Source organism: Homo sapiens, chromosome 2 (genome assembly GCF_000001405.40).
Source record: "Homo sapiens chromosome 2, GRCh38.p14 Primary Assembly".
NCBI classification, from domain to species: Eukaryota; Metazoa; Chordata; class Mammalia; order Primates; family Hominidae; genus Homo; species Homo sapiens.
The window spans coordinates 102,833,183-102,845,788 of NC_000002.12; the positions used below are offsets into that span (position 1 = coordinate 102,833,183).

General features: G+C 43.1%; 1 protein-coding gene across 3 annotated transcripts in view, besides 1 other annotated feature; it reads left to right on the top strand.

Moving 5' to 3' along the window:
- Positions 1-10,656, top strand: part of TMEM182 (transmembrane protein 182) — a 106,904-nt gene extending 96,248 nt beyond the window's left edge. For 2 of the 3 annotated variants that reach the window (XM_017003376.2, XM_006712287.2), the window contains exon 5: positions 10,230-10,656. In XM_017003376.2, coding sequence (XP_016858865.1) covers positions 10,230-10,393 — 164 coding nt within the window. In that variant the 3' untranslated portion in view covers positions 10,394-10,656. Of the gene's footprint in view, positions 1-1,226; positions 1,337-10,229 lie in introns of all 3 variants that reach the window. The other variant, XR_427070.3, reaches the window with a different exon arrangement.
- Positions 8,109-8,158: an enhancer, noted in NCBI's record as "active region_16308". NCBI's record gives its function as "activates an Ori minimal core promoter by ATAC-STARR-seq in GM12878 lymphoblastoid cells {active_cell/tissue: GM12878}" and the evidence as "EXISTENCE:reporter gene assay evidence [ECO:0000049][PMID:35858748]".
- Positions 10,657-12,606: the final 1,950 nt, after the last annotated feature.

Sequence of the window (12,606 nt, forward strand, 5' to 3'; positions counted from 1 at the left end):
AGAAGAGGGTTGCTGGCAGGGGCTTATTGAACTAATTCTCAGTTATTTGTTCATAGTCTGGTATAAATCAGTCATAGATAGACTTTTTGCAGGAATAACAACCATGTTAATTTTGAGCCTTTGCCTCAATTTAGACAACTTAGATATCATCCCCCTCCCATCACCAGATCCAATTGCAGTTCTAATTTCTCCCTGGAATTGTGCATGGGGACTAGAAAATCAGGTCAAACATCGTGCTTATTTTTTAAACTTTTAATTTTGAAAAAATTTAGACGTATAGAGGAGTTGCAAAGAGAATGGAGTGCTCCCACACACACACCCTGATTTATTTTCCCCAAGGTTAACATCCCAGGAAACCATGGTTCAACTCTCAAAACTAAGTTAACCTTGGTACAATACCAAGAACTAAACTACACACCTCATTAGGAATCCACTAGTCTTTCCTCCAATATCCTTTCTCTGTTCCAGAATTAGGTCCAGGATCCCACCATGCATTTAGTTGCAATGTCTCCTTATTCTCCTCTCATCTGTGACAATGTCTCAGTTTTTCCTTGTCTTTCATGGCCTTGAAACATTTGAAGAGTACTGGTCAAGGACTTTGTCCAGCATGTCTCATTTATATTTGTCTGATGTTTTGATAGATTGGAGCCATACATTTTGGGAAAGAATACCACCAGAGGCCATGTGCCCTTCCCAACGCATTGCATCAGAGGACATAAAATATTAACATATCCTATTTCTGGTGATGGCACCATTGATTCTATTGATTAAGATGAGGTCTGCTAAGTCAGTAACTTATCCCATTTGTGTAAATGGGACCTGGGTCAGCCATGGAACCTAGATAACCTTATGTTAATTATGAGTTCAATAAATACATAAGTTAAATAGTATATACATATCTTGAGCAAGGATTCAGTGTTTCCAGTCATTGGGTGGGCTTGCATTTTTAATTTCCCTGCTCTACGAAGTGTGACCGCAAAGGTATATAGGTCTAAATATATCTCTGGCAATGACATGGCTGCCTATAGCCATCCCTACTTTGCCGTGGGCCTAACTCTAAGGCTGAAGGATTATCCATTGATAAACTTCATGCACAACAGTCTCTGTAAAGAAAAAAACCCTCATCCATTTACCATCTTAGGACTCGTCTGTTTTTTTCTGTATATTGTAACATTTCCCTTTTTTTTTCCTTCTGATCTTCTCTTGGGATCCTCTGCTGTAAACAGAAATCTAGAAGATGGGGGGATGGAAGTGAAGTGGAATGTAAAAACGTCTGCCAGTGCCCCATGGTCTCCAACCCACTTTCAGATGCACCGTCTCATTTCAACAGATATAGGTGAGCCTTGGGAGGTGTGCATATCCATGAGAGTGTTATTGCTACAAATAGAAAAACAAAACAAAACTGATGCTTAACAATGTTCAAGGACTTGCCAAGGTCATATGGCTGTGACAGTGCAGAGTGGGTTGTAGATCCAGGGTCTCTGAATACTTAGTCTGCTGGTCAGGCTCACCACATATTTCACACCAGGAAAACAGGCTCAGGGCTCCTGCAGGTCCAGAGCAGTCCAGCATATAAGCAGGTGACTTGAACTCTCGATTTATTACCAAGCTGTTACAAAAGCCAAGCATCCTTCGTTAATCACTCTGGGTTTTCCACTTGCCGGTTGTTACCTTAGGAATAAAATATTCCTGGGGTCTATTTCTAATTTAATGCCAGGATGCAAATTGGGCCTCACCCGTTTCACCTGAGGTGTTATTTATGCCCAAATAACACCTCCTAGATGAGGACTTATTGTGCCTGTTTCCTCCTTTGGAAATTAAGGATAATAATAGTAATCAGCTGCACACAAAGCAATTGTGGGGGGCGGGGATGGGAAAGGCTCAGTGATTGTAACAGCTCACAGAAAACCCAAGATCAGGGAGAAGTGCTGTAGAAATGCTAAATGCAGCAGGAAGAATTATGACATCTCTGCAAATTCACCACCGGAGGCCAGGATAATACAAATGCTTGGCAAATGGTAACTTCATTCAACAAATATATTTTGGCTACATGTAACATTGGAATCCAAAGGTAGAAGGGTTTTTAGATAATAATAATCGTGACTCGATTTTTAAAATTGACATTTTTTACAGTAGTTTTAGGTTCACAGCAATATTGAGTAGAAGGTATAGAAATTTCTCATGTGCTCCCTGCCCACACGCAGGCACAGCCTCCTCTGTTACCATCATCCTCCACCACAATGGTGCATTTCTTACAATTTATGAGCCTTCATAACACATCATAACCACCCAAGGTCCATAGTTTACTGAGGGTTTACTCTTGGTGCTGTACAGTCTTGGTGTTGGGTTTGGACAAATGTATCCACCATTATAGTACAAACGGAATTGTTTCACTGCCCTAAAAATCCTCTGTGTTCCATCTGTTTATTCCACCCAACCCCTGAAAACCACGGATCTTTTCACCATTTTTATAGCTTTGTGCCTTTCAGAATTTTCTTTTTTTAAATTTATTTAATTTATTTTATTTTTTTATACTTTAAGTTTTAGGGTACATGTGCACAACATGCAGGTTTCTTACATATGTATACATGTGCCATATTAGTGTGCTGCACCCATTAACTCGTCATTTACATTAGGTATATCTCCTAATGCTATCCCTCCCCCCTCCCCCGACCCCACAACAGGCCCCGGTGTGTGATGTTCCCCTTCCTGTGTCCATGTGTTCTCATTGTTCAGTTCCCACCTATGAGTGAGAACATGCGGTGTTTGGTTTCTCAAGGACAGAATGTTCTATAGTTGGAATCATACAGTATGTAGTCCATTCAGATTGGGTTATTTCACTTGGTAATATGCATTGAAGGTTCCTCCATTTCTTGTCATGGCTTGATAGCTCATGTCTTTTTAGCACTGAATAATATTCCATTGTTTGGAGGTACCACAGTTCTCTTTGCCCCGTGAAGGATATCTTGGCTGTTTCTAAGTTTCGGCAATTATGAATACAGCTGCAATAGACATCCATGTGCAGATTTTTGTGGGGACACAAATTTTAACTTATTTGGGTAAATACAAAGATTATAATTGCTGGATCATATGATAAGAATATGTTTAGGTTTAGAAGAAACCTCCAAATTATCTTCGAAAGTAGCTGCACAATGTTGCATTCCCACCAGCAATGAATGAGAATGCCTGTTGTTCCACATCCTCACTGGCATTTAATGCTGTTTGTTTTTTGGATTTTGACCATTGTAATACGTATATAATGGTATCTCATTTTGCTGAAGTGTTTTAAGTGCCAGATACTGGACTAAGCACTTTAAACAATGATCTCATTGAATCCTTATAAGAATGCTATGAGGTGAGTGCTATGCTTTTGTCTTCCCATTTTCCAGATTAGTAAAGGCAAGTTTAAAGAGGCTGCATAACTTGCCCAAGATTCCATGAACAAAAAGCACAAAGCCAAGTGTTCAGAGGCGTTCTCAGTGCTGGTTTGCTTGTCCACTCCCTGCTTTTATGAAGGAGGGCCTTGATTCTAGATCTGTTAAAGGACTCACTCAGAGTGCCACACAGAGCAGGACACAGGAAGAGAACTCGGCCTCTGTCAGCTGTGCTGCCCCACAGACAACTTCTCAGCCTTCAGTCATGGCAGGGTTGGCCATTAATAGAAAGCGTTCAGTCCTTGGCCTTATACTGGGAATCCTGATGGCTATTCCAAGCTTCTCCAATCCAGTGCTTATTTCTGAATGCATTTAATGCTCTGATTGGAGACAGGACCTCTCTTGAGTGCAACACATAAAACTTAGCATTGCCTCACAATCAGTTGAAATATGTTGCCTGCCCTGTGCCTGAACACCAGCTGCAGATGAGAGGTCTGTGTTATTATGGTACCTCCCTCCAACCTTAATTGTTTTCTTAGGTAGTTTCCACTCCCAGTTCTCTGATACCCTGTGGTGTTTCTAATTTCTTCATATGTCATAGTTAATTCTTAGAACATTAGTTCCAACCCAATTCTATTTGAAAAACAAATGTTAGACATAAGAAGGTGAAGTTTGTGGGTTTTTTTTTGTTTTTCCAATTTAGGGGGCTGTAATCCCTAAAAAGTCAAGAATTATAAAGTTGTTCATTAAGATAAATAAGAAAAACGTTATTTGTTTTTAACTTAAACTAGAGAGAAGAAAAGCATGAACAGCAAAGCATTGACTAGATTCTACCGATACATTGAAGAATGATTTGCTGTTGTTAATAGGGTGGAGATTCTGTTAGAAAATTCAATATGGGAACTCTTGAAACTGATGGCAGAGTTGAGGGAATAGGCCAGCGTGGGCCCTGTAGGATCTTAGTGTGTGTCAGTGCTGTGGGGGGTTCGGGGGGTTCAGGGGGTCTGGGGGCTGTTGTGGTGTCACCTTGATAGTGCCAAGGTTCCTGCGTGAAATGTGGTTAATAAAGTAATGGTGGATACCAGAGCAGAAGAGCAAGAGGAGCTGCTGCAGGATCACTTGGTTCATTTCACATTGACCACGTAGAGCAGAATGGGGCTGATGGGCCCTGAGTACCTCAAGTGGCCTTGGGTCTAGCTGCACTCTCCTGCTTTCCCCAGACCCAACCACGCAGGCTGGTTTTGTTCTCTCTCTGCTCTGGGCAGGAGACTTCCAGGGAAGTTACCTGTTTAAGGAGGCAGAAGTGGCTTCTGAGGGTTCCTCACCCTTAGGGCTAGCTACGTCATTCATGGGGCTTAGGGCAAAATGTAAACACAGGGCCCCTTGTTGAAAAATTACTGAGAATTTCAAGACGGCGGCAGCAAAGCACTAAACAAAGTGCAGGGCCCTTCTCAGCGCCAGGCCCTGTGTGACTGCCCAAGGTAACCCTACCCCGGAAGCTGGCCCTGCCCCAGCATCAGTGGATGATTGTTTATAAATTCATGAAGTCTTATTCCCTTTTTCTTGATAAACCTAATTCTCTAATGCTGCACGGAAGTAGGTTTTGTAAGTCTTCAATTTCAAAACAGGAAACTGTGAAGCTCCATTATTACTTTTGAGGGATAGCTATGTTGTTAACTTAAGGTCTAACTTAGTTGATTCTAGAAGTTGTGATTTTGGTTTCCCTAGCTTCACTGCTTGGTGCAGTGGACTACTGAGATGGCTACATATTGTTCCTCCTCTTAAGGGCTCCTATTTTCACAATGTGTGTAGCACATAACTAAATGAGTGTAATGCAATGTCATGTGTATAGAATGCATGCATAAAATGGTACCGATGTGAAGAGGGGGAAGGGCTGAAAATTCAGCTGCAGGTGGTCAGGGAAGGCTCTTCAGAGGGCTCCAGGATGGAAGGACCTAGGCACTGCCTCCATCTGTCCTCTCTGCCTCTTGGTAATTCGCAGTGTGCATTGGCTATTTTCCTAATGGGGTGCCCCTTTCATTTGTCAGTAGTAACAACCTGAAGAATCAAAATCCTGAAAACACTTGGGGCAAATGTTGAAGTGGACAACAGGGGCTGGACGACCATTTTAAAAGTAGAAATCAGTTCAGACGTGTGTTCTGGGGTTCTGTGGGGTAATTGGTGGAATGGCCTGTGGTGAAATGAATGTAGAAGGTTTGAGTCCATAAAGTCTCACAGATGTTTAGGCAGAGAGACCATGAGACCTCAACCAAGCCATTGGCAGAGGAAGGATGGCAAGAGAATGAATTTGAGATACACTGTCGCTGTGAAAAATAAAGGAATGAGAGAGAAGTCAAGGATGGTTAAAAAACTGCCATCTTCGCCAAGGTTGTACAGAGTCCTGTATTTCATCTGAGTGAATACCATGCATTCATGATTAGTAATACCCCATATAGCATCAAGACACTAGTAGTAATTGTGCTTGTGTGTTTGTTTCTGATAAAGAGGTTCTCAATTGATTTTTATTTGTTTGTCTTGCTGCCTTCTGCATGAGCACTAGGTGACCAGGATTCTTCTTTTTGCCTTTGTAATTATGTTTGTTTCACATGGCATAAACAGTGGGTACTAAATACCTGCCATTTTTTTCTGACTGATGAGGATCCCACAGATCACATCAAAGCTGTCTAAGTGGCTACTTGGACTTCCTCAATGGACTGAAATGCTTGGAAAAGAAGGAGATAGAGCAATTTGCACATCTGGATTAGCGCTGATTTCCGATTTCTTTGCTTTTAGTGGCTTCACATCATACCTATTGTGAAGGTCTAAACCATTTAGTTTTAATTGACAAATAATAATTATATATATTTATGGAGTACATTGTGATGTTTTGCTATATATATATATATATATATATAATATATACACACAAAAATAATTCCTGTCTATATAGTGGAATTATTAAATCAAGGTGCTAAAAGAGTAGATTTTAAAGATCTAAACTTTAGATCCCAGCACCTATCCTAAATTTTCAAAATTGGTCTTTTTTGTTTGGAGCATAAAAACAAGAGTGTAGGTATTACATATGACCAACATGACTTTTTAGGTAAAAATTGAAATACCACAAAACTCAAATGCAATGTAGCTCTAGTTGCTAGCCACACTGTGAAACTAGTCCTCTGTGAGAAGAGTGCAGAAATACGTGTTTGTTATCCACCTGATGAATTGCCAAGGTGGTGCTATCACTCTCAGCGTGCGACTTCTGAAGTCAGAAGCCCAGCAATTCTACAAGGGAAGCACAGAAGGTTAGAGGATCCCTGATTGATTTTCTGGCAGCCAATACAGGAGAATGAGTCATAAGGTTATAATAGGCAAAAGACATATTCTCAGGGATGCTGCAAACTTTGGGAGTGTAGAATTGTTTTGAGAAAAAGCAGCAACAAAGCATGGGATTTGCATCTGTTCTTAGTGAGAAGTAGCTCTGAGTGCCTCACGGGGAGAAGAAACCAACATCCCCCAAATCCTAAAAATAGAGGCTGCAACTTTTACATCTGCCACTAGAGGGCGCATTTCATCTATAAAGAAATCTTTCCATTGAAAACCCAGGAACTTTCCAAAAGGCTTTTGAGCACATCTCGAAGGGTGGAGGCCTTGGGGAGGGATGAGGGAGTGGGAGGTGGAGGGGCAAAAGGGAATATGAGATAGAGAGTTATTGACTTGCTTAACTCTGGGAAAAGGTGTGTGCCTAAGTGCGAAATCGCCATATATTGTGGATGCTGCATTTTCCTGATTGTTGTAACCTGGGTACCTGCAGCACATATTCCAGGAAAAAAGTAGACTCCGTCTTCGCATATAACTCTTCTACAGAGGAATCTAGACTTGGTGAATGCACCATTGTTCTCCGAAGGGCCCCTCCACCTAAAACGGGGCAGGAACCAATGTAAACACCGGCGTTAGTGGGTCAGGTAAGTGATCCTGAGGCATAGGGGGTGAGGTAGCGTGAGTTAGCATCAGGCTCATATAGAGGACGCAATAAAGAGCCAAGGAATTAAAACAAAAATGAGGAAGGCCGATTAAAAAAGAACATTTGACAGACAATGTATAACTCCAGCTCCTTTCACAGAAAGCAAAATATTCCCAGAAAGCATAGAATTCCCTGAGATAGGGGGAGTTAGAACTCGAATAAGAGTTCTGATTTTAGGCATTCTCTGTTGGTAATCCTTCAATTTTTATAACATTTTCTAGATCTGCCACTGCATGAACTACATAACTGACAAATCTTCAATTCACATTATATTTAAGTGGTTTCCCCATCACTTCTCACAGTTAAAAATACATTACATAAATTACTATCCTGCCTAGTGAAATATGCAACGACTCTGTTGTCTGCCGTTTATTTCTAAAACATTTTGGCACTTTCTGCGGAAGTCGTCTTCTTCTCAGTGATGCCAGGGGACTTTTTTTTTCAGTGTTACTTTGTTCCTAAGTGCAGGATCACAGAGATCCATGGGGAAACAAATAGTGGCATCAAGAGTGGCCTGTGGTGGAGGAACTAACAGCTGCAGGCGGAGGCGGATCGGGGAGCTGGAGTGGAAAGAGGGCAACTGAGGCGATGTCTGTGTCCTCTGCACGTGACAGTCCCACGGAGCTCTACTGATCTGGGGCCAGGCTGGGACTCCGGCCCAACTCCGAGGGGCACCAGGGTCTGGGTATTAATCGTGTGGCAGAGCTCCAGTCTCCATGTGATACACCAACCGTGCAGAAGCGTCCCCTGCAGAAGCACAGGGGACAGCCAAAGCTCTATGGCCCTGCAAACCCCTCAGCATGGCCCTGTGAGTATCCTGCAGAGGACCCGGGCCTGAGCAGTTCCTTCTTCCCAGCAGGTGTCACTGTGGAGTCATTAAAACCGGGAGAAGAGAAGAACTGTGCTTTGGCAAGCCGAGCCCCAGTAAAGGTTCTTGAACCAAAACTGCAGACAGGCTCCGCAGCAATGACACGCAGCAGCTTTAAAAACTCCCTCCACCACTGAGTCCAATGCTGTGAGCATGCGGTGTCTGTTGTCTTTGAACTAAGTTCACCAGATCTTCCAAGTTTTAAAATGGGAGCTAAAGCAGAACAATTATCCATATGGACGTTAAAGGGATAGATAGCTCCATTTCAAGGTGGCAATAGCTATATCAATTTTTGTCCTATTTTCTGACTGTTTGGACAGGTAGTTTTGTTCGTTTGTTTTTTCATTGTGGGAGGTAACTTGATGGCATGGAAAGAATGCAGAATCTGAAAATCCGGATTCAGATTCTTGCTTCCATCTCGCTATGTGTATGTTACTTTGGACAATTTACATAATTTAGAGCTCTGAGACTCCATTCCATGACAGGGTAATTGCGAAGGTTAAATGAAATGTATTCAGGAAAGTATCTAGCATGGTTAGTTACATCTGAATCCAGATGCATCACTGAAATACTGTTTAGATTTCATTATCGTTCTAATATTTTAATATCATTTTGAATACATTCTGTTTATATAGTATTACCCATATATAAAGTATAACCTCTAGGAGGATAATTCACTTGTCTCCTTTGGGCTAAGTCTTGTACTCCCCTCCCCTGCTCCCCCCTGCAATGACTACTCGCCATCTCTGCTCAGATGTCCTGCTAGAACTCAAATGCAGAATTATTATCTGTATGCTCCTACCTCCCTCTCTGCATTATTTATTCCGATTGATGGTGCTGTCCCCTTTTCCTGAACCTTGAATTGCTGGGATCACCTCAATTTCTCCTTCATCACTATCTTCCGTATCTAAACAGATCCTTGAACTTGCAGTGCCGTTTCCAATGTTGCACTATCTTCTGTGTCTACCTGCTGCCCTCACACAGCTGCTTATCAGGATTACTAGTTCAGTTTCCTACCTCATTGGCTTCTGGGGAGCTTTCCCCGGATCCCAATTCCAGGGCTCCACCTAGATCCACAGGGTCAGAATTGTAGGGGGGCCCAGAATGGCATGGCACTACCATACACTTGAATTTCGTTGGGAATCCCTGTCACATACATCTCTGACCTCAAGTTAGATTGACCTTCCAAACCAAAGGGCATGCCACTGACAGAAAGCTCCTCTTAAAGCCACCTTTTAATTTTGTTCCTTCCTTGCTGCATATCTTTGCGATTTCCCACTTCCTGGAGGATGGACTTAACTTCGGAATGAGATGATGTCACTCCATTCTCGGTGCCATGAAGGAAGGGACAGTGTGCACCTTGCTCATCATAGAGCCAAGTGCCTGGCCCATTGTAGACCCAACAACCAACAACGGACCACCCTCCCTTTGGGTGGTTGCCTGGATCACAGCCATTGCCCCTTCCAGGGATGCTGATGACATACATGGAGGGGCCACTGACACCTCCCCTTGGCCATAGCTGTTGACAAAGAGGGTGGGCTTTTGATACAATGTATACAAACAGATACTCTTTACAGAAAATGGAGAGATCCTGAGATCAGATGTCATGGACAGGTAGTCACATGAACATGAACAGCAGGCCGTGCTAAGGTCTCCTGTTGCCATGGCTCCCCGATGTGTGCCAGGGTTTGTGCGTCCTGAGCCTTGGCTGCTGAGATCCGCCATGTCAGGAGATACCATGACACCTCCAGTAAGTTGTCTCTTTTTCTCCCTTTTTATTCAAGTCACTTAGAGTCAGTCCCTCTTACTAGCAAATGACAGAGCATAATCTGACACATTGTTGGGGATTTCATCTGCTCATGACACAGTTCCAATCTACCTAATCCATGTTATTCTCCATAATTCTCGGTCATAATTTCTTCTCTAAAACCAGGTGACTCTTCTAATAAATTTCACTCTTTTCTAGATGGAATTTCTTCTCTCTGTTACTCAAGCCTCTCAAAGTCCTTATTGTCCCAGCCTCTGCGTGAAACGTCTTCAGCCATCAATGACATCTCACTCCTTCAAGCCCTTATGCCACTGCTGGGATGGACCAGTCACTGGACCTGCATTACAGTGGGCTTATATTGACCTTTACCTCTACACTTGTATATAACTCGTTTTCCCATTTAGTTGCAAGACACTTGGAAGCACAGACCAAGGCTTACATTTGTGTTTTAATGTTTTTCTTGTAAATGCTTTATGCCTAAATGTTTCTGTACTACTCTTCTTTCCAAATCCTTATTGTTTAAAAGTTTCTCTCCTACTATACCATGCCTTATAAATATTGATTGAATGAATGGATGAAATGCATACCTGCTTATATTTCTAATTAAAGGCAATTTGGGATTATAGTATTTGTTTTTCCAAAAATGTTTCCAATTACCCATTCCCTTGTCAGTTCCCATGTAGCATGGAAATGCAACATTCCCTTTGTAGAATGTCTGCTTTGTAATTACCCCTGTCAGGGTGATTAATGGATAGCAGTTTATGACCAGGAACCTCCGTGGTGACCTGGTGTTCAGCAGAGGCCACCTTGTCTCAGATATTTCTGCCCCTGCAGAAGGTTTTTAAAAAAATTTTTGGCTTTGGAAAAGAACTAAGGTTGCAATATGGGCACATTTGCCCGCAGATTCCCAGAGCCTGTCGATAGCTAATTGCATCCAGGCGGGAGGACTGATTTGCTTGGCAGTCCCTCCTGAATGGGAGGTGGGATGGTCAATCCAGGCTGGAGCAGGGCCAGTGCCTTGGGCCAAATGTGTTTTCTTCCTCTTGACTGGCTGTCTTCTGCCTGGGCCTGTTTTGCCCTCTGCTGACATCTCAGGCTGAGGATCTCTTTGCTGGTCTTGCAGGGCCAAAGGTGGCTGGAGGGTCAGGAGGCAATAGGAAGTAGGGCTTCCCCACCCCTCCTGCACTGGCTCACTGTCCAGTCACTGAGGTTAGAGGGATGTCTGGCCTAACCATTCCATTCTTCACGTTGCTGTTGTGAGTGTCCTTGTTTCTCTTTTTCTGAGACTCCTGGATTACTCCTGGCCACAGCTGCTCTGCTCACCTGGTGGAAAGCAGTGCTTCCTTCTCCAGGAGAAAATCCGCAATGGCTGGAGCCACGGGTGCAAAGAAAGCCCATGTACTGGGAGCAAGGAAATGAGGCTTTGAATGTGCTCTTCGAAGACTGCCTCTAGGAAGACCAGAGGGCTACTTTCCATTATTGTTTCTGTTCTCCCCTTCCAGCAAATGGCCCAGGTCACTGGGAGCTAGCAGCATACCAGCACTAGTGCAGAACTATTAGTGTACCAGGGCACATGAGCCGAATGAGGCCTGGGCAGTGTTGCACACATTTAATGGATTTTCTCACTTAACCCTCACAGCAACAGCATGAGGCAGGTACTTCTAGTAATCCTACTTTAAAGAGGCAGAAACTGAGGCACAGAGAAGTTAAATAACTTGTCTAAAGCCACATCACTCCTATCCTCATACGTACTCTTATAAGAATAATGAGCACTCCTATAAATGCTCTTACTAATCAACTACTCATTGCAGCTATATTTCAGGATATGTATATGGGTACACTGTACGCTTAGCAGGAGGTTAGGTAACAGCCTCCTACTTGATCACTCAGCAACTATTTTGGGGCACCTATTAACATGTAGACCTGTTCTACAGGCTAAAAGAAATGCCAAAAAGTAAGTGCTTGCACTATAGGTTAGAAGAAAAGATGCTTTCTCTGCGTGTCTCTCTTTCTTTCTCTAGGTGTGGGTGTTTTGTGGATGTCCCTGCAGCTATAGACAGACCTGGGATGCAGGCACTGTTCTGGGGGTTTTGTAAGCAGCACAGCCTAGTGGGTAGGAGAACAGTCCCCAGATACCCCACGTATGCTCATAAATGACTCCATTGGCCGGGCATGGTGGCTCAGGCCTGTAATCTCAGCACTTTGGGAGGCTGAGATGGGCAGATCACCCGAGGTCAGGAGTTCAAGACCAGCCTGGCCAACCTGGTGAAACCCCATCTCTACTAAAAATACAAAAAATTAGCCGGGCATGGTAGCACATGCCTGTAATCGCAGCTACTCGGGAGGCTGAGGCAGGAGAATCATTTGAACCTGGGAGGCAGAGGTTGCAGTGAGCCGGGATCACGCCACTGCACTCCAGCCTGGGTGACAGAGCAAGACTCCATCTCAAAATAAATGAATAATAAATAATAAATAACTCCATTGCCCACTAGCACCAGACATTGGATATCTGCTTAATTTTCCCGTATCCCAGTTTTTTCACCTGTACAGTGGGTATTATTATAGTTCCTAATTC